The sequence below is a fragment of the Homo sapiens genome, chromosome 9 (genome assembly GCF_000001405.40).
Source record: "Homo sapiens chromosome 9, GRCh38.p14 Primary Assembly".
NCBI lineage: Eukaryota > Metazoa > Chordata > Mammalia > Primates > Hominidae > Homo > Homo sapiens.
Window position 1 is genome coordinate 36,772,332 of NC_000009.12, and position 20,975 is coordinate 36,793,306.

The 20,975-nt window shown below is 47.6% G+C and overlaps 1 long non-coding RNA gene across 2 annotated transcripts in view; it reads left to right on the plus strand.

The window, feature by feature from the left end:
* Positions 1 to 7,143: 7,143 nt before the first annotated feature.
* Positions 7,144 to 20,975, plus strand: part of LOC105376030 (uncharacterized) — a 50,778-nt gene continuing 36,946 nt past the window's right edge. The window contains exons 1-2 of one of the 2 annotated variants that reach the window (XR_929588.4): positions 7,144 to 7,546; positions 9,139 to 9,562. This is a non-coding gene — a long non-coding RNA (uncharacterized LOC105376030). The remainder of the gene's footprint in view (positions 7,547 to 9,138; positions 9,563 to 20,975) is intronic. The other variant, XR_001746662.3, reaches the window with a different exon arrangement.

The window sequence follows — 20,975 nt, forward strand, 5'->3', positions numbered from 1 at the left end:
TTACCTGCCAGGGCATCTGAGAAATGTACTTTTGGGTCTTCTTGACTCTATGGTACAGGACAATCCACTGGAAGGAGGGTGGAAAGAATACTGAGTGCCAAGCCACCACATCTACCATGCAGCCATTAGGCTGATCCAGGCCAACAGTCCAGGGACCGAATCGGACCAGGAGGGTTGTTTACCCAGGGGAGAACCTGTGCTTGGCCAAAAGTTCCCGCAGTGCCACATTTTAAGAAAAGTAGCACTGCACTTCCTGAGACTACAGATAGATTTCTATCTGTAACTGGTGAGTGACCTTGGACAGCTCCCTGCATACACACATGGACACATTACATGCAACTTTCCGTGGGGCAAGCATGACAGACTGATGGGGAGGAGACTCTACAGCTTAATCTCTGCCTGAGTCTGTGTAATAGAATTGTTAAGGTCTCTGGGGTCGGGCCCTTGCCATCCGAATGGGTCACCGTTCTGTGAGCTTGCTTTATTCTGCTGCCATTTGCTGAAAGCCAGCAGCCAGGAGTGATTCAGAGCACGGGCATGGACCCACACCTGACTGTTAGCTGAGCATGAGCTCTTCCTGCTCCGCCAGAGCTACTTCAAAGCTGGACCTGGCTCCCGCCTTCTGGGCTGGGTTTCCCTGTGCCCTCTGCTTGACTACGATAAGGTTACACTCAGGGAGGTGAGGTGATGAATGTGTCCCCGCCATGGGGCCATAGGTGAAATCTTCTGCCACATAGGATCCATGTGACCATGGACAGCTGTTAACCCCTCTAAGCCTCAGTGCTCTCATCACTAAAGTTGCTTTCCTAACAGTGCCACCTCGAGGGTTAAAATGAGGATGAAAGGAGACACCATGCATGTCAAGTGCTCAGCACGGTGCCCAGCACTCAGTATGGGCTCAAAAACAACTGCTTTGCTGTCGTCATCGACTTTGCTTCAAGCCAGTATCCCTACTGACAAGTCACGACCAGGGTCTCACCATTCCTTTGCCTCTCCTTGTGAAGGTCACTGCAGGGGCTGCCCCGGAGCCCACTGAACCCAGTTGTATTAACCATTTGGTGGCTGACAAGGAGCTGATCTTGGGTCCTGAAGAAAGGAATGGGTGAGTGAGAAAACTGGGCCAGAGCTTCTTGGCCCTGGCTGTGCATTGAAAAAATACTGATGCCAGCTCCACTGGCAGAGATCAGATGCAACTGGTCCTGGCCAGTGCCTGGGCATCATGATCTGTCTATCATCTATCTGTCTGTCTGTCTATCTATCTGTCTGTCTGTCTGTCTGTCTATCTATCTATCTGTCTGCCTATCTATCAATCATCTGTCTAGCTACTTCCTGATGATGCTCATGGGTAACTTTGACGGAGACGCACTGAATCAGGTGCTCTGCTATGATTTGACTTGGTTAGGACAGAATAGTGATGGCCCTTACATCTTACCAGTGTATATTCTTAGTCCTCTGAATCCTTGCAGGGTCGGAATTAAGATCCCTTCCTTATGAATGAGGAAAGTGAAGCTTGTGGGGTTTGGGTGACCCCAATTCACCAGCCTGGAAGGGCAATAAGGAGAAAGAAGAGGGTCACTTTTGTGGCCTTGTTATGTGAAAATCCCCCAGAAGAATTACTATCAATAGAGAATCTTTCTCTAGGCCCCTGTAGCTTTGCAGAAGCTGAGGGTTTGGACTGTCTGGTGAGGGTCAGGTTGCTTGTTCTGTCTTCCTCTGATTCCAGCCAGACTTCATCTGCTGCTGGAGATGTGGAAGGGGCCCTACCATTCTTTGAGGCAGGCTTCAACTTGTCCACAGCCAGGTAAAGAGAAGCCTGGCAGGAAGAGGAAGGAATTCCTGCTTGGAACAAAATACGGGTCCTTCAAGGGGACCCATCTGTGTAGTGGCTTCTTTTTTATTATTATTATACTTTAAGTCCTGGGGTTCATGTGCAGAACGTGCAGTTTTGTTACATAGGTATACACATGCCATGGTGGTTTGCTGCACCCATCAACTGGTCACCCACATTAGGTATATCTCCTAATGCTATCCCTCCACTAGTCCCCCCACCCCCCACCAGGCCCCAGTATGTGATGTTCTCCACCCTATGTCCATATGTTCTCATTGTTCAACTCCCACTTATGAGTGAGAACATGCAGTGTTTGGTTTTCTGTTCTTATGATAGTTTGCTGAGAATGATGGTTTCCAGCTTCATCTATGTCCCTGTAAAGGACATGAACTCATCCTTTTTTATGGCTGCATAGTATTCCATGGTGTATATGTGCCACATTTTCTTTATCCAGTCGATTACTGATGGACATTTGGGTTGGTTCCAAGTCTTTGCTATTGTGAATAGTGCTGCAATAAACATACATGTGTATGTGTCTTTATAGTAGAATGATTTATAATCCTTTGGATATATATCCAGTAACGGGATTGCTGGGTCAAATGGTATTTCTAGTTCTACATCCTTGAGGAATCACCACACTGTCTTCCACAATGGTTGAACTAATTTACACTCCCACCAACAATTTAAAAGCATTCCTATTTCTCCATATCCTCTCCAGAATCTGTTGTTTCCTGACTTTTTAATCATCACCATTCTAACTGGCATGAGATGGTATCTTCTTGAACCCAACATGCCCTGAAAGCAGGTTGTCACAAGGGGTTGGCCGGAAGATCAGCTGCTCCATCTTCCCAGTGAGGTTTCACCTTTCACCCTATGCCTAGGGCACATTCATCATACTGAGTGCCTCAAACATTGAAAGAGATGGGATTATAGATGGCACCAGGAGAAAAATGGAGCTCCAGCTCCTGAGTAAAATGAATTTATCTATTCCCAGACCCAGGTCAGACAACGCTGGCTGGAGGAAGTCATTTATCTCTTTGAGAGATGATTCTAGAAATACAATCGTGGATGTGTCAATTCCATGCTTTCCGACTTAAGGGTGAGACAGGAAGAACGGAAGTGTCTTCTGCCTCTGGAAGACAGCGGGAGGCCCCATGGTGACCAACTGCGCTGCCTGACAGCGGGGTCCAGGCCTCGGGTTCTGATTACTACAGCCTTTTCTGAATTGGAGGCTGTGTTGTTCCTCTTCACTTCCTTTTGATTATCTCCGGGCAATTTTGAGAGAGCCAGGGATGAATTAAGCAGAGCTGGTGTGCACATTATTATGGCCTCTCTCTGGGCTTAAATGGCTCTCTTGAAAATAGGCCTTTTTATTTATCCTCTCATCTCCTCTCCTTAAATTGTAGCCCAGCCCTAAAGGTGTGGATTGATTGTGCATATCCTTTGCCTTGTAATGAGCCTGTTTATCACTTCTGTGGATCTGGAAACAGGAGAGGAGATGGGGCCACTGGGGACTGCCTGCTCCCACCAACCTCTCCTGCCCACTTAGACCAAAGGCAGCTCTGCCTTCAACCCTTTAATTTTTAAAGAAGCCACTTGCACTTCGCGTTAGGAACTGGTGGGTGCAAGGTGTATATGATGAGTAACTAGAGTTTTTGTTTATTTCCTTATGAGTAGATGGATCTTGGCCCAGGACAGCTGCTGTGAAAGGTCCCTTTAGACGAGAGAAGCCACACCCATTCACTTACTGGACCCAGGCTGGTGGTGGAGTCATAAAAGTGGCCCTGGACCCAGAAGAGGAGGCCATGCCCAGACGCACTACCATCAGCCAGGGGCGTTGAGATTCCGTCCCAGGACAATGATCATCAGCCTGACTTCCGATTCTGATTCAGGGAGTTAATGGCAAAGCTGAGACTGGAGGCTGGGCCACTGGACCTTTCTACAAGATCCTTCCAGTCTCTCCTTGATCTTGACTTTGTTAACATTTTAACTCTTTCATAACTGTTTGCAGAGGATCAGAAAGACAGAGCCCACACTGTGTGCCTGGGCTTGTGCCCCTTGCAGATACGGGTGGTCCTGCAGGCAACATGATCTTCTCAGGGCACTTTGAGTGGACTTCGGGTCAGAGGGAACAACGCTGGCTAACGGGGCTGTTACTCTGTACTGGGCCCTGGGCCAGATGCTTCATGTGCATTAACTCACTGGATCCTCACAACAGTATCCCCACTGTGCAGATGAAAACGCCGAGGCACAGAGAGGTTATGTAATTTGCCCATGGTCACACAGCTAGTGAGTGGTGAAGCCAGGATCAAACCCAGGCAGTCTGGCGCCTCAGCCTGAGCTCTTCCCATCACTCCAGAGAGCCTGTGCCAGGTCTTGGGAAACAGGCAGGGAATAGTCTGTTGATGTTTCCTGGGTGCCCTGCTGCCACTGCCCTGGCTCAGCCCACATCTCTCGCACCTGACCGCATTCCAGCCTCTCCACTGAGTACCATGGCTGTAGCGTAGCCCACCCAACCATCCGCTACTCCCGCCTGCAGGACCATGCCAACACAGAGAGCCTCCTGACACGACACTCCCGTTGTTCCTCCCCAGCCCTCTTTAATGGCTCCCAATTGTCTGATTTCTGGGTGTTCCCAACCCATCTAGTCTGATCTCCCACCACACCTTTCATGGATCCTGACAGCCAAACAAGGATTTACCAACTTGTTCATACAACACTTTTCCCACCTTCCAGCCTTTATCCAAGCTGTTCTTCCTGCCTGGAATGCCTGTTCTCACCCGCCCATGGCTCTTTCATGACTGCTTCCCAGGCCCTGTGCTTGGCAGGTGCTCACCAACGGGATACTATGTGTCCATGTTGCTTTGTTGCAGAGGAATTTTTATTTTTTCTCTTTCTGGATCCTAAAAAGAATACAAGTTCACATTAGAAAATCTGGAAAATTGAGACAATCTCTCAGAGAAAAATTAAAGATAGCCTGAAATCCTACATCCACTGTCAATATTTTGATATATATCTTTTCAATCTTTCTTTTCATTTTTAATATTGTGAAATATTTCAAACACAGACAGAATGGAGAATAATATAACATTCTCTGGTGCATCCACCTTTTCTTTTATCAACCCAGTAGTTTTTCTTTTCTTTTTTTTTTATTATTATACTTTAAGTTTTAGGGTACATGTGCACAATGTGTAGGTTAGTTACATATGTATACATGTGACATGCGGGTGTGCTGCACCCACTAACTCATCATCTAGCATTAGGTATATCTCCCAATGCTCTCCCTCCCTCCTCCCCCCACCCGACAACAGTCCCCAGAGTGTGATGTTCCCCTTCCTGTGTCCATGTGTTCTCATTGTTCAATTCCCACCTATGAGTGAGAATATGCGGTGTTTGGTTTTTTTGTTCTTGCAATAGTTTACTGAGAATGATGATTTCCAATTTCATCCATGTCCCTACAAAGGACATGAACTCATCATTTTTTATGGCTGCATAGTATTCCATGGTGTATATGTGCCACATTTTCTTTTTTTTTTTTTTTGAGACGGAGTCTCGCTCTGTCGCCCAGGCCGGGCTGCGGACTGCAGTGGCGCAATCTCGGCTCACTGCAAGCTCCGCTTCCCGGGTTCACGCCATTCTCCTGCCTCAGCCTCCCGAGTAGCTGGGACTACAGGTGCCCGCCACTGCGCCCGGCTAATTTTTTGTATTTTTAGTAGAGACGGGGTTTCACCTTGTTAGCCAGGATGGTCTCGATCTCCTGACCTCATGATCCACCCGCCTCGGCCTCCCAAAGTGCTGGGATTACAGGCGTGAGCCACCACGCCCGGCCATGTGCCACATTTTCTTAATCAACAACCCAGTAGTTTTTCTATGGATATTAGCAAATTTAGTTTGTTTGTTTTCCTTGAGACAGGGTCTTGCTCTGTCACCCAGGCTGGAGTGCAGTGGCTTGATCATGGCTCACTGCAGCCTCAATCTCTTGGGCCCAAGCAATCCTCCCACCTCAGCCTCTGGAGTACTACTACTCTAGGACTACAGATGTGCACCACCACGCCCAGCTGCAAATTTAGTTTTAAACATTTTGGGATAATGATCTACAAATTATCCACACTGTTTTGAAAGCTGATTGTCCCCTGGCCCCTTCCCCATATGATAAATCACAAATACTTTTCAATGACTAAAGAATATTCTCTGAAAAAATATACAGTAGGTTAGTCAGTTAACCAGTCCCTAATTTTGGACATTTATAATTATTATAAGCAATACTGCACATCCCTGACTATTTACTAAGAATATATTCAGAGAAGTAGAATTACGGGGTCGAATCATATAAACATTTTGATACATTCTGCTAAATTGGCTTTTCAAATAATTTTACTCATTTCCATTTCCATAAGCAGCATATGAGAATATCAATATTGATTCATCTTAGTGAGCACTGGGTATTATCACATTTGTAACATATCGTCTCTTATGAATGAATGAAGGAATGAATGACAAGAGCCTTTCCTGGGAGGGATAATGTCTCCTTGTGGTGCTGCTGTCACACTGCCACTCTCCTTGTGACCAGCTCAGATCCCCTGCCTGTGCGAATGTGTGTGTTGCTCAGGAGGGGAGGTGGGGAGGTGAGGATAGGGGGCTGACTTCCAGACTATTTCAGTGTGGCTTTTAGATCTCAGCCAATTCTGTGAAGTGACCGTGCAGCCAAACTAATCACCCTTCCTTGGGCCAGGTTAATGTGCTCCTCTCTTGCTGCTTGGATCAATACCGTACTTACTGCAGATTAGCTAAATGAGCCAGTGCAGCTGGGAATGAGCTTCTAGAGACAATTACTATGGAAAATGCAGCCATATTTTAGTGGGCACCACATGCATGAGGCTCTTTGCAAATATCAATATATATTTGCTTGCTTGACAGAAATAGATCAAACCTAAGTCCGGAGATTAATCCAGATGATCAGAGTGTACATGCTTCTTGTTGTGCATAGTGTGGCGGAACCTTGACCTTTTCCATGGTTGCTATTGTTCGGATTGTGCTGGAAGTAACCCAAAATGGGCTGGTGGTTGGCCCATGCGATTGTCTGCAAGTTTATTGCAGGTACAAATAGTAATGAGGCTGCTTATGGTGATAATCGTTTATCTCACTTGATCTTCACCACAACCTTGAAATGCTCACTAAATGTTTATTTAATAAATTCATTCATTCCCTTAACAAATAATGACTGAGTAGCCTTTATGTACAGGGCCTTGTTCTAGGTGCTGGAGAAACAGTAGTGAAGAAGACAGGGCCTTTTTCAGTGGAACTTGCAGCCTGGTGGGACAAGAGTGACAATAAACAAGGAAGCCATGCGCATGGAGAAGTAATCACGCATTGAGGCAAGTGCTGCAAAGGAAGACGGTGCCGTGTAAAGAAAATATATAGGGTGGTGGTGCTTAATTTCAATAGGGGGGTTGGAGAAGTCTTCTCCGAGGGGGTGACATTGAGGTTGAGATTTGATGGATGAGAAGGAGCGAGCTAGGACAAGAGAAGAAGAGAGACAGTGTTCTCAGTGGAGGGACCTTCTTGTGCAGAGGGCGTGAGCTGGAACCAGACCAGCAGTTCCAAGGAACGGAGAAGCTGCCGTGCAGGGCTGGAGTGTGATGAGCAAGGCAGGAACAGCACATCATCCGGTGAGAGAAGCAGACAGCGGCCAGGCCACACAGAGCCCTGCAGGGCACGGTAAGGACTTTGGATTTTATTTTAAGGGAGAAGGGAAGCAGTCAAAGGACTTTATACAGGGAAGGGATATGATCCAATTTACATTTTCAAAAGGTCACTCTAGGTCCTGGGTACGGAATGAGGAATATTCTATATCCATTTTGATAGCTAGTTCCAGAAAAATAACAATTATAAGTAGACAGGCTGGCAAGGTGGGGGGAGCCTTGGGTAGATCCTCCGAATGGCTCTTTGGGAGGTGAGGATCTGCCACGGCTGCGGGCTCTGGTTCTGAATGTTGTCTGATTTCACAACCCATCTCACAGTTTCTCTTTCCCGTAGGAGGGCTTGTCATTGGCAGATTCTTAGCCCAGTAAAAAGGAGAGGCAGGGGATGGAGAGGAGAGAGCTGGGGATCTTTGATGTCACCCCCACGATCCCAGCCCTGGCTGTCCTGGTGTGCTGGCTTTCATCCCAAAGAACAGCACGGAGCCCCCCCTCACTGCATGCGGGGGCCCCTCTGGCACAGTGGGGAGGTGCCCCGAAGACAGCTCCTCCTCACTCAGTCACTGGGGCGCTGGTGGCCAGGGCTCAGAGAGCAGGAGACCTGAAGATTGGGTGGCTGGTCGGCCTGGACATTTAGACTGTGCCTGGGTTCTTCCGATTGCTCCCCCACAGTCCTCCAGCCACAATCCATTTCCTGTCCTTGGGCTCAGTAACCTCCCCCTTGCTTTTCCCCCTGCAGTCTTCTTGGTTCTCACCCATACGTTCCTTACTCCTTCACACAAGCATCAGCTAAAAAAAGCCAGCAGCCTTTTGTGTACGTTTGAAAACTGGTGACCCTCCTAGGTAAAGAAGTTTGGGGTGTGGGGAATGAAAGGAGCATGATAGGAAAGATTCCCATTCCCTTCAGTCGTTGAAAAGTGTAACATTCAGGATGTGTTTAAATGTTCAAAGAGTCAGCACTAAACAACCAGGAATAGAATGTGTATCTTCCAAACTACTGGGGAAAGAGACCGGAGGAAGCATAACCCAACAGATGGCTGAGTGACTTCTAAGATAGAAGAGGCAGAGGGAGGAAAAGCAGGACAGAGAAGAAGTTGAATTCCCTTCCATAAACAGGTTGAACATTCTTCTCTGCCCGCAGGAAACCTGGGCTGTGTTCTTTCAGGTGGTGGGTGGAGGGGGAGGCATGGCCGGAATCCCCAGTGCCCGTGGGTGCCAGCCAATGACTTACACATCTGCTTTCCTCAGTTTTAAGTTCCCTGGGGGCAAGGCCAGACCTAGTTCATCTGTCTATGTCCCCAGAACAGGGAGGTTCCATTGCTGGAGAAGAATAAGAGCACATGTTGTTATTACCCAACACAAGCTCTGCCCATCTTTTCGGCTAATGCCATCTTATGAAAGGGGTGAATTCAGATCCTACTCTGAAGGCAAAGAAATGGGGCAAAGTGGACCATGAAGCTCAGAGACCCACATGAATGTGAACCACGGTTGAGACCAGCAGACAGAAAGCTCTGAGTGTCTGGGGATGGGAAGCTTTCTTATTCCACTGACTTCTCTCGCCATTTCTTCTCTTTGTCTTCCTCTGCTTCCTCCTCCCTCTTTTGACTTCAGCTGGCAGAGTTGCTTGAAATGAAGCCGTTCCCTGAAAAGCACACATGAATTTCCCCTGCGGAAAATTCAAACAGACACACTTGAGGATTTCCACTAAATTCTCTCTGGCCCCCAGAGCACTGGGGAAGCATGTGAGACCTGTGCCATCCCGGAACTGTGGCGACAATGGTAGTTAACGTCCATCATCTGCAGGCACCTTCAGGATGTGGAGCATGCAGAGATGACTCACGCCCACACCGGTGACCTCCAACACACCAGGGAAGGCAGGAAAAGGCTGTGTGCCAGGATCTTGTTCTGGGCTAGAAAAGTATGCCTGTTCGTTACCCGACCTTTGCTAAGTACACCAACTAATGGAGCGAGAGACATGAAAGATCTTCACAGGCCATGTGGAAATGTAATTCAAACCCAGCCCGAGGAGGTCATAGTACGTGAGTTTAATTTTCATCCTGCCTTTCCTTACAATGCTAACCTTTGCCTTACAAAAAAAGTTGTTTAAAAAGAGATAAGTCAGTGTCTATTTGGCATTTGAAGGAGTTTTAATCTGAGCAACCCTGTTGGAAGTGTTTCCATTTCCTTAGGATTCAGTTCAGGAAACCGTGAATTGATCCTTTACATCAGAAGTAATTGTTCTGGGTTTGAAATCTATCAAGTATTGGAAATTCAAATTAAGCCATTTGTGAAGTTCTGTTTAATGAGGGTTATCAAGTCGCTTCTTAATGGCATCTGTCGGACTCCTAGCCCCCTCTGCTATTCATACAGGCCCAAGGCCTCCCATTATATGCCCCATGATGCAGCCGGATGGGCCCCCTCTTTGATCTGGGCATCTCTGCCCTCATACGTGGTGGGCAGTCCCACCCTCCCCCACTGCTCTGGGAGCTGTTCCGTCCCAGCTCCTCCATGTCTTATCTTTCTCTTCCACTTTCTGTTTTCTCTCCTGTCCTCTCTTCCCATCATCCCATTGCTTCTGTTTTCTGTCTTCCTTCCCAGCCTCCTGCCTCTTCCTTCTTTGTCACGCATTCACCCTGTCTCTCATCAACACTAAGGCCAGCACGTGTCACCAAACTGCCTCCCATCAGAGGCCTCTGACATTCTCCAAGTCCTCCTTCAACATGTTGCATTCTGACAGTATGAGATCCTGAATTATAAACATTTACCACCCACTATTTATTAATCGCACTTTTATCTTTTGGCCTGAAACTTTGTCTCTCACCTGCTACCAGCTGCCTCCAGAGCATGGGGGTTGGGAGCTGATGGCAAGTTCCCTGTGTCTTTTCTGCAGCCCTCTGGGTTTTACATAATGTGATTTTGTGTTCTCGCACAAAATCATGGTGCTCCAGACTGAAAAATTCTACTCATCAGGAAATCTCCCTCCCCTTAGAGCGCTAGAACTGTCTTTTTGTGGGACTTGGTCAGCCCTGAGATTTCTTACAGGAGATAAAGGGCCGAATTGGAGAGATGCTTGGAGAGAAATGGTTGACAGGGCCTGGAGAGCATGTCGTGGAGGAAGACATTGACAAGGTCTCCTCCTCGTCCTCTTTCCTCCTTCCATCTCTCCCAGTCAACCCCCAAGCCTTGGTTGATGCCCAGTTCCCTAAGGTCACTCATGAACTTCTCATGTGTTTGTTGTCATTCCTCTTTCCTTTAATTCTCTCTGCTTCAAACTTGGGAGAAAGATTTTCTCTGATGAATTTTTCAAGAAACTCCCTTCAGGCTCCCTGCTGCCCTTTCCAGCCATTCTCTGCTTTTGGATCCCTGAGGACCATCCAGAGAGCCCGTGTGTCATTTTTAAGAAACTCTGTTACAAGGCAAGAAATAAAGGACATCCTCAAATGGTAGTGCACCCAGGGGAGGTGTGGAGAGGGTGGAATGACGAAGCGCCCGAGACATATGCTGTACGGCAAGGTCCACAGAGCTGGGATGCCCATGGGGTGGGGTGGGGTGGTTAGAGACGGAAAACCAAATCAAAAGAATTTAAGCAATAACCTGGCGGGGCACGGTGGCTCACACCTGTAATCCCAGCACTTTGGGAGGCCAAGGTGGGTGGATCACTTGAGGTCAGGAGTTTGAGACCCACCTGTGCAACACAGTGAGACCCAATCTGTACAAAAAATACAAAAATTAGCCAGGTGTGATGGTGGGTGCCTGTGGTCCCAGCTACTTGGGAGGCCGAGGCTGGAGGATCACTTGAGTCTGGGAAGTGGAGGATGCAGGGCCATGGTCACGCCACTGCACTCTAGCCTGAGTGAAAGAATGATAGCCTGTCTCAAAAAAATAAAAAACCAAAACCAAAATAAAACCCCTGAACCCCCAAAATGGAAGGAAAAATGAATATCTATTGACTCCATCGCTGACATTGCACCTGTGGGTTCTAGGGCTTTACCAGCACCATCAGGACACCCCAGTCTCTTGAGAGACAATATTTTCTAGTAGTCATCACTGCCTGGACTTGGAGCCTGGCCCCACCTCTTATGAACTCTGTGACCTTGGGCAAGTGACTTCACATCTTTGTGCCTCAGTTTCCTCACTTAGAAAACGAGGATAAAAGTAGCACTACCTTCTAGGGCTACTGTGACTATTAGGTGAGTGACTATTTGTAACGTTCTTAGATCAGTGTGATGCACACAGTAGGTACAAAGTGAGTGTAAGCAACTGGATGTGTTTCCTAGGCCTCCATAACAAAGTGCCATGAACTAGGGGCTTAGAACAACAGAATGTATTGTCTCATACAGTTCTGGAGCTGGAAGTCTGAAATCAAGGTGCTGGCAGGGCCACGCTCCCTCTGGAATCTGTAGAGATCCATGCTTGCCTCCTCCTGGCTTCTGGTGGTTTGCCGGAATTCTTTGGCATGCTTGACGTACAGGTGCAGCATGCAATCCTCTGTCTTTACATGGTATTTTCCTTGTGTCTCCACCCAATCTTCCTGTGTCTGTCTCTGTGTCCAAGTTTCTCTGTTTTATAAGGAAGGCAGTCATATTGGATTAGGGATTATTCTAATGACCTCATTTTAACTTGATTATGTCTATAAAGACCCAATTTCCAGGTACTGAGGATTGGGACCTCAGCATCTCTTCCTCTCTTTCTCTTTTTCTTTGTCCTCTTTCTTTACTTTTCTCTTCGTTGGCTTCATTTAATAGCAGATTTGCCCTAGGCTTTGGTAAAGACGTTCATTGCAGTTCTGGGCTTATTATAGTCTACCATCTTAGCAGCCTACCGTTTTTTCTAATAGTTTCAGTGAAAGCCCCCGACTGTCTTTTGTTGGCTCAGCTTGGATCATGTGTCCACTCTGGAGCCTGTCCCTGTGTCCATGGTGCTCCCATTGGCCAACCCTGGAGCAGGTACTGGGGTCAGTCCCACTCAAGTCATGTTGATTGTGAATGGAGTTGAGGAGGTTGCCTGGAATGAAAACTCAGGTCTTGCTTCCTGGAGAAAGGATTGCTGGCAGGCAATAGAAATAGATGAGCCCCGAAGCCTTGAAAACACGGTCACGAGTCCTGCAGGGTTGTCTTCAATTCTGTTAATGCAGTCATCTGAAATGGGATTGAATTTATTGGGGGAGATATTCAGAGAGCTAGAGAAGACCAAGGGGAAGAAGGACAACAGGCAGATTTGAGCTCAGTGTGAGGAGATACTTCTTAGGCACAGAGCAGCCAACAAAGAGAGGGCTTGTGCCTTGGGAGGTGGTCCACATCCTCTTCCTGGAGGCAGGCAAGAGTGGCCATGTAGTTTACTGAGAATGTTGTAAAGGCAATTCACACAGTGGAAAAGGAGTGGACTAAATCAATGGCTTTCAAATATTTATTACCGTGACCCACAGACATGGATTTATATTGTAAACCAACACACACACACACACACACACACACACACACAACTGAAACAAAAGTTTCGCAAAGCAATTTTACCTTTACTATAAGTGATGTACTCTGACATAGTCCTTTCTCTTCTATTTCATTTTAAAAACACTCACAGCTCAGTAAATTGATTTCCCAGCCTGGTGTTCAGAAACCTGGACTAGATGACCTCTGAGGTCCCTGCAGCTCAGTGACTCTGGGGGTCTATGACAGGTACCAGTGGGCCAAAAAGGAGGAAATGTGGTTTGGTATCACCAAATATCACCTGCACAGTTGGTGATGACACTGGACTGGAGCCAGCTCTCTGGACCCTGCAGCCCAACTTCTGATGTTCCTTCTCTGCCATCTTCGATGACTGCCCTGTCTGCCTGTAAACTAGAGTATTTGTAACCATATCAGTCCTTTGCATGGATACGTTTATGGGTTCCCCATTTGTCTGATAAAGATAAAAGGTTTGATGTCTTCATCTGCTGTCCTCACTAACCATCCCAGGAGTCCCTCCCAGTGTTTTCCAAAGCTCTGTGCCCTTTGAGCTGTCCTCCCGCAACACACTTAAATCCACACCTTTGATCCTATCCTTCCCTTGGCTTGAGTGTCCTCCCTCCATGTCCCCCTCTCTAAATTCTCCCTGTCCTCCCATGTTCTCTTTTAGGAAGGCTCCCATGGTTCATTTCCCAGGTGGCAGGATCTTCTTCTCCTCTGAGTCCTTTCAGCCTCGTACTGTTCCTGTTCTTCCTGGACCATGAAACCATTAACAGAGAGACTTGGGGGTTTGTGTGTGTGTGTGTGTGTGTGTGTGTGTGTGTGTGTGTGTGAGTTTCCCGCAATACCTGCCTGGTATGTCCACAGAGGATGCTCAGTACCTGCTTGAAGAATGGAGAGATGGATCGATGGGTGGGTGGATAACTGAAAGGATGGATTTCACAACATTGAATCTAATTCATTTATTCGACATATATCTAATGAGCACCTATTATGTGTCACACACTATTCTAGTTATTGGGGACACCACATTGAACAAAAGACAAAGATTCCTGCCCTCATGGAGCTTACACTCTACTAGGGGAGACAATGAACAAAGCACAGTATATGCATCTGATGGTGATGGCTAAGAAGAAAACTAAATAGGGAAGGGGATAGAAGTGTTAGGGCTATTGCAGTTGTAGATGGGATGGCCAAGGAAGGCCTCCCTGAGAAGTTGATACCTGAGTAAAGACATGAAAGAGATGAGGAGTGAGCCATGTGAAGACATGTGGGGAGAGCTCCCAGGCAGAGGGGGAACACAGGCAAAGGCCCTGAGGCGCAGCATGCCTGTCACGCTAAGGAACAGCAAGGAGGCCAGTGTGGCTGGAGCAGGAAGTAGACTCTGAGATGAAGATTAGTGGGCAGAAGGTTTATTAGGGAGTTCTTTTGGGATCAACACCTAAGGAAGGGAAAGGAAGGAAAGGGAAGGGGCAAAGGAAAGAAAAAGGAAAGGAGAAGGAAGGAAAACAGACAAGGCAGAGGAGGAAGCTGAGCTGTGATGCAGTCTCAAGGGAGGCCTCAGCCAACCCTGCATGGAGGTCTGAAGACAGGCTCACTTTCTACAGGCATCCTAAGTTGGGGTGAGATGGCCAGGTCTTATACTCCTGTGTTAATCAGGCACTGGGTGCAGGCTGCCTGGAAGAGGGGGCGTGACTTTTAGTTGAGGCAGTGCCTGAGGAGATGATGGCTGTGGGCTGGTGGTTGGTGCCACTCCCAACATCTGGGGGGATAAATTCTATATCCATGAAGAGGAGTCTAAGGGGTATGTCATGGCATCCAGCATAGCCTTGTAGACCAATATGAGGGCCCTGTTGCTACACTGAGTGACATGGGAAGACACTGGGGGTCTTGAGAAGAGTGGCATAACTGGACTGATACTTTCACAGGCTCACCCAGGCTGCTGTGAGCCAGTGGCACACGATGCAGATGAGAGAGGGTGGGGGCTGGACCAGGGTGGAGGCAGGGGAGGTGTGAGAAGAGGTCAGACTTTGGACTTACCTTGAAAAACGCAGAGCTGATGGGACTTGCTGACAGATCTGATGTGGGGTTTGGTTGAAATAAAGGAAGTAAGAATGATTCTGAGGATTTTAGTGGGAGCAACTCAAAGGACAGAATTGTGGTTAGCTGGGATGAGGAAGCCTAGGTGTAGAGGAGGTTGGGGAGAAGATCAGGTGCTAAGTTTGGGATGCCCATTAGCCATTCAAGGAGGCATGGCCCATTGACTTGGACACTTGGAGTGCAGGGCAGAAGTACGAGCTGGATGCACTGGTTTAGGAGTAGTTAGCATCTAGATTCTCCATTGGTGGAGGGTGTGTGTGTGTGTGTGCACTTGCGCTCACATGTGGGAAGGATATGGGGCAATGGTTGGGATAACCTGTGTGTGGCTGACTCATACATGGGGCTGCCCTTTCCTGGGCTGTTCTAGGCCTGGATCTGTGGTCTCTCTAGGGAGTCTTAGGCCAGACTCTGAAGGAACATTGTAGGGGCTGCCCACACCCCCCGAGAGCTGAAGTGGTCTGAACTCTGATGGGCCCCTGTCCTTGAATTGTGGGACTGAGTGTGGGGTTTGACATCAGGGCAGGGGTTGAGCAGATGCCTCTAAGGTCCTTCCCCACTGTGACTCAGGGACTTTCTGTGGCTCTTCTCCCCGAGGGCTTTTCTCTCATCGCTGCTCTCCCTTCACACTGCCTTTGTCCCCTCTTGTGCCACTCTGGAGTTTGTTCCACTTGGGAGCCACTTCCCCCTGGAGAGGTTGCTGGCATTTCCCTCACTTTATTCTCAGTCTCCTCAAACTTCCCAAAGATATTAGTAGTGTGCAACCTGAAAAGGAGAGGGGCATTGACAAAATGAATTCTGACAGAGATAATTGCATGAATCCTTTGTAGCTCAGCCCTGAACATGGCTCCACACTGTCAGTTTTTATTTTATTCAAATGCTGGAGTCAAACGTCCCCCTGCAGGTGAGGGAGTGGTGGGAGATGAGGAGAAGGGGAATGAACGGGGCTACAGGCCAAAGGCAAGATCTAAGCCCTGTTGTGCAAGCCTCCTGGGGTCTGGGCTGCAGTGCCATGTCTCTGGGCTTTCTCTGGTCTGGGGATCTAGACAGTCTCTAGGATGGATAGACAGATGTGTGAAGGGCTTAAGAGAATACCACTTTGGCACTGCCTGCAAGGCTGGGAATCACAGCCTTAATGAACATTGAGTTTCTTGATGAAGCAGGCACAGTCTTGTCCCTCCTGGGTGAGAAGAGGGAGCCCCTGGCAGGAGGGGGTCACAGTGACCTTGCAGAATTGCATTGCAGCTGACTCTCCTCAGGGTTCCCTGCCATCATAGCTGACAGGGAACTACAGTGGGCCACCACTGCCCTCCAGGCGTGCTCTCACTCAAATTTCCCAGCGGCTGTTCGTGGGACTGCACCCCAACCCTCAGGCTTGTCGTCTTTTTTTGGGTCAGGAACCAAGTGCTCCCAGGGTGCTTGATGGGGATGTCTCCATGGATGGGCCATGTGGCTGAGCGTTTGCCCAGCCCCTTTGCTAAAATGACCTTTCTCAATGTCCCAATTTCTACTCTGTGAAATCCAAGTCATCCATCAGCACCTTACTCTGGACCTCCCTCAGGATCCTTCTTAACACAGGCTGTAAGTAACTGCCACCAAACAATGACCACTGGCAATTGAGAGGAAACCTATTTATCATCCCTGATCCAGAAGACAGAACCAAAATTTAATCAATATTTAGTGTTTTTGTGCTGTTGGTTTAGTTTACATGTAAGCTATGCCATAGGTATCAGAAGTTAATCTGGTCCTTATTATGATGGTTTTTTATATTTGGTGATGAATATTTGATAATTGTGTGTATTTTTTTTTTTTTAGGTAGAGTTTTGTTCTTGTTGCCCAGGCAGAAGTGTAATGGTGCAATCTCGGCCCACCGCAACCTCTGCCTCCCAAGTTCAAGCAATTCTCTTGCCTCAGCCTCCCGAGTAGCTGGGATTACAGGCATGCCCCACCATGCCCAGCTAATTTTGTATTTTTAGTAGAGACAGGGTTTCTCCATATTGGTCAGGCTAGTCTCGAACTCCTGACCTTAGGTGTTCTGCCCGCCTCGGCCTCCCAAAGTGCTGGGATTACAGGCGTGAGCCACTGTGCCCAGCCATGTGTAATGTTCTTAATTAGAAAAGCATGAGCTTAAGGAGCTGGCCAAGAACCCATCCTTTTGGAGGTCATGTTGAACTGCCCCTTAGCTGTTTAATGACATGAGAAAGTGCATAGGGACAAATGCTTGCATTCCCTACATTAAAGGTCCAAAAAGCCACAAACAGTGCTTATGTCCCATCAATCATTTCAGTGAGCAGATCTGTCAAACTAGGGGAACCCACCAGTTTCACTAGTGAAGAACTGGGGCTTCTTCTTAATTCTTTATCTGGAATGCCTCCCTTGGCCATCATTACATGGAATAACATCTCACAGAGCTAGGCTGGGAGGTGGGAGATGTTTATGTCAACGGAGAGCGTCTGAGATGACTTCTCAGAGAAGTGAGATTAGCTGTATCAGGAATGCAGAAAGTCAAGGTGCATCTCTCAGTGACTTCCCTCAGCCTCAGTGTCCTCCTTTACAAAAACAGGAAGTTGCGCCCAGTCATACTCCAGAGCATTCTGGAGACTTGGTTTTGATGCCATGGCTTTGTGTGAACACCTATGAGGCTACATTCGTCAAAACCATATGGTCTAAACATCAGGCAATCCAGCCAAACTGGTTAGGTGAGCAGAAGCCAGCTTCTGTCCCCAAGGACCTCACATGCTAGTAAGGGACAGGACCAGATGCACAGAACTGTCACACAAGGCAGAAAGTAGGAATGGCCAAATGGAGGTGCCGAGACTATCCCCTGGGAGTTGGGAGACAGCAAGCCTTGCTCTGGCTGGGGTGTGTGTGCATGTGTGTGTAGATCTGGGAAGGTCTTAAGGAAGCAGCGGTGCTGAGCAGAGCCCTGGAGCCAGGCTAAGATTTGGAAATGGAAGGGGAAGGGTACCCCTCTGTCCTTTACTTAGGCCTGGCACACGAGAGGTACCCCAAAATGCTTGCTAACCCACCCTTGAGTCTTTCTCTACACATCTAGTTTCCTCCTTTGGGGACCTCAGGCCATGATCAAACAGAGTTTAAAAAAATTAACCTGGCCGGTCGTGGTGCCTCATGCCTGTAATCCCAGCACTTTGGAAGGTCGAGGCAGGTAGATCTCTTGAGGTCAGTAGTTCAAGTCCAGCCTGGCCAACATGGCAAAACCTTATCTCTACTAAAAATACAAAAATTAGCCAGGCATGGTGGCAGGTGCCTGTGATCCTAGCTATTCGGGAGGCTGAGCCAAGAGAATTGTTTGAACCTGGGAGGTGGAGGTTGCAGTGAGCCCAGATCACGCCACTGCACTCCAGTCTGGGCAACAGAGTTAGACTCCATCTCAAAACAAAAAATAACAACAAAAACAAAAATTAACCCTGGAAGCAGAAAGGCAAAGACAAGCAAAATCCATTCATTTTATCATAGCTCTGTTTTGAGACTCTGAGAGCCTGGGCGGGAATCATTTCAAGGCAAGAAGCCCACTGGGAGCTCAGGTTTAAAAAAAGGGGGAGGAGCTATGAAGGCACTGGGGGCTCCTGTGGCACCCAGTCACCAAAGGTACAGATGGGCCTCTCAGGAACTGGACCTTGGCCATCTCCCCTTTCCACATTGCCACTATCCATTACTGGATGCCTGGTTTCTCATTTTGCTTCTGTCTGAGCTCCCATTTCATTCTACTGCTCTCAGATCTGGCTTTGCTGCTTATCATCTGCTTGCACAAGGCCTATCAAGGCCTCCACAAAATGGTAGCTTCAGCCCTCAAACTTCCAAGGCCTTCCTATGCCATTCCCTGTGGCTCATTGGCCAGTGTCGGAGTGCCCTGATTCCAGATTTTCAGAGGAGACAGTCTGATGGGGTCAGCTTAGGCAGATTCTGCCTCTGACCCAATCAGCTGGGAGCAGGGGTGTGTCAGGCCCCCACACACTGTAAAGCGATCCCCTTCCAAGCTGTTTTTCCAAGAAAGGGCGGAGCGAAAATGATCTGCTTCTCCAGGAGGAAGGGCGTCTGACTCCTGGGCTGTCACATATAGTGTGGACACCCACGCTATCTGCCTTGAAGTACTTGATTACACAGAGGAAGGGCACAGCAGCCTAGGCCTATTCCTGCCGTTGTCAATGGGATTAACATTAACACACCATGAACAGCTGAATAAATGCAGGAACACTTGTCTTTGTCTAACAAAGTCTACCTGGCACCTTTTCTCTCTAGTGCTAATCAGGCAATCTTAAAAGCATATTTTGTGTCTGTATTGGAAGAAGGAATGACAGTAGGCATTGCTCACTGCCCCCTCCCTGGCCTCCAGGCCAAGCCTTTAGTCATCATCATCAGCTGCCACAGGTTCCTGGGCTTAGAGCACTGAGCTCTAGGTGCTGACTGCCCCAACGGAGACATGGCCAGTGTTTGGACCTCAGAGTGCGTGTTCCTATAGAAATAGATGTGAAATGGTCAGTTGGTTCCCACACCAGCCCACAAAGGCTATGTAACCAATACTTTGTGGACCCTAATGGCCATGTAATATAAGCTTCTTTACATTCATGAGATGAAAAACAACTCTAGAAGCAAAACTTTTCTTAGAGCTAAAAGGGGACTCAGTAATCCCCTGCAATCATCCCTTTGATGGCAGTTCCAGGAGAGTAAGGAATGTATACAAAATCACACAGCTATTCAGTGGCTGGATTACAACTGAACTAACATAGTAGCTACATTACCAGTGAGGAAACAAAATTCTAAGTCTACAAAGCTGTATAAGAAATAGGCTGTTGGCTAGGCATGGGTGGCTCACACCTGTAATCCCAACACTTTGGGAGGCCGAGGCAGGAGGATCGCTTGAGCTCAGGAGTTTGAGAACAGCCTGGGCAACATAGCCATATCTACTAAAAATAAAAATGAAATTAGGCATGGTGGTGCATGCCTGTAGTCTAAGCTACTCAGGAGGCTGAGGTGGGAAAATCACTTGAGCCTGGTAGATTGAGGCAGCAATGAGCTGTGATTGCACCTCTACACTCCAGCCTGGGCAACAGAGCAAGACTCTGTCTCAAAAAAGAAAGAAGGAAAGAAGGAAGGAAGGAAGGAACGAACAAAGGAACAAAGGGGAAGGAAGGAACGAAGGAATGAAGGAATGAAGGGAGGGAGGGAGGAAGAGTTTGTTGTTGTTTATCTTGAATATTGATGCTCTAGAAAAAGCAGGTTGAATTAGATGAGAGGTGATAGTCAGACACCTTTATGAAGTTCCAAGGGCTTCCAAATACTTTCAAAAGGGGTTAGCGGTTATAATGCATGAAAACTCTCTCTCTCTCTCTCTCCACACACACACACACACACACACACACACACACACATACACACACACACACACACACACACACAGGCATGTATGTATCTGTATTGAACATATATATAGAGATAAGGAAATAACTGGTTCTTTATTATGTGTTTTCCTTTTAGAAGCTGAAAATTGCATTTCTCTCTTATTTAGAGGAATGTAGAGCAGTGTTGTCCAATAGAACTCCCTGAAATGATAACACTGTTTTATATCTGCACTGTGTCACCACTAACTACATGTGGCTATTCAGCATTTGAAATACGGGTAATACAACAGAGGAACTGAATTTTTAATTTTATTTAATTTTAGTGAATTTATCTAAATGTTAGGGAATTGAAATTTAAATGTAAATAGCCACTTGTGGACTTGTGAACAGTGCAGCATAGCGTTACTAGTACGCTTATCAGCCCAAACAGACTTCAGCCTCTCAGGTGTAACAAAATGGGGTAGGGTGGGAGGAGGAAAAATAACAGAGACAAAGGAGGAAGTTTATTGGAAGGTAGCTGGACACAAGCTAGAGAGGTTGTGTGTCT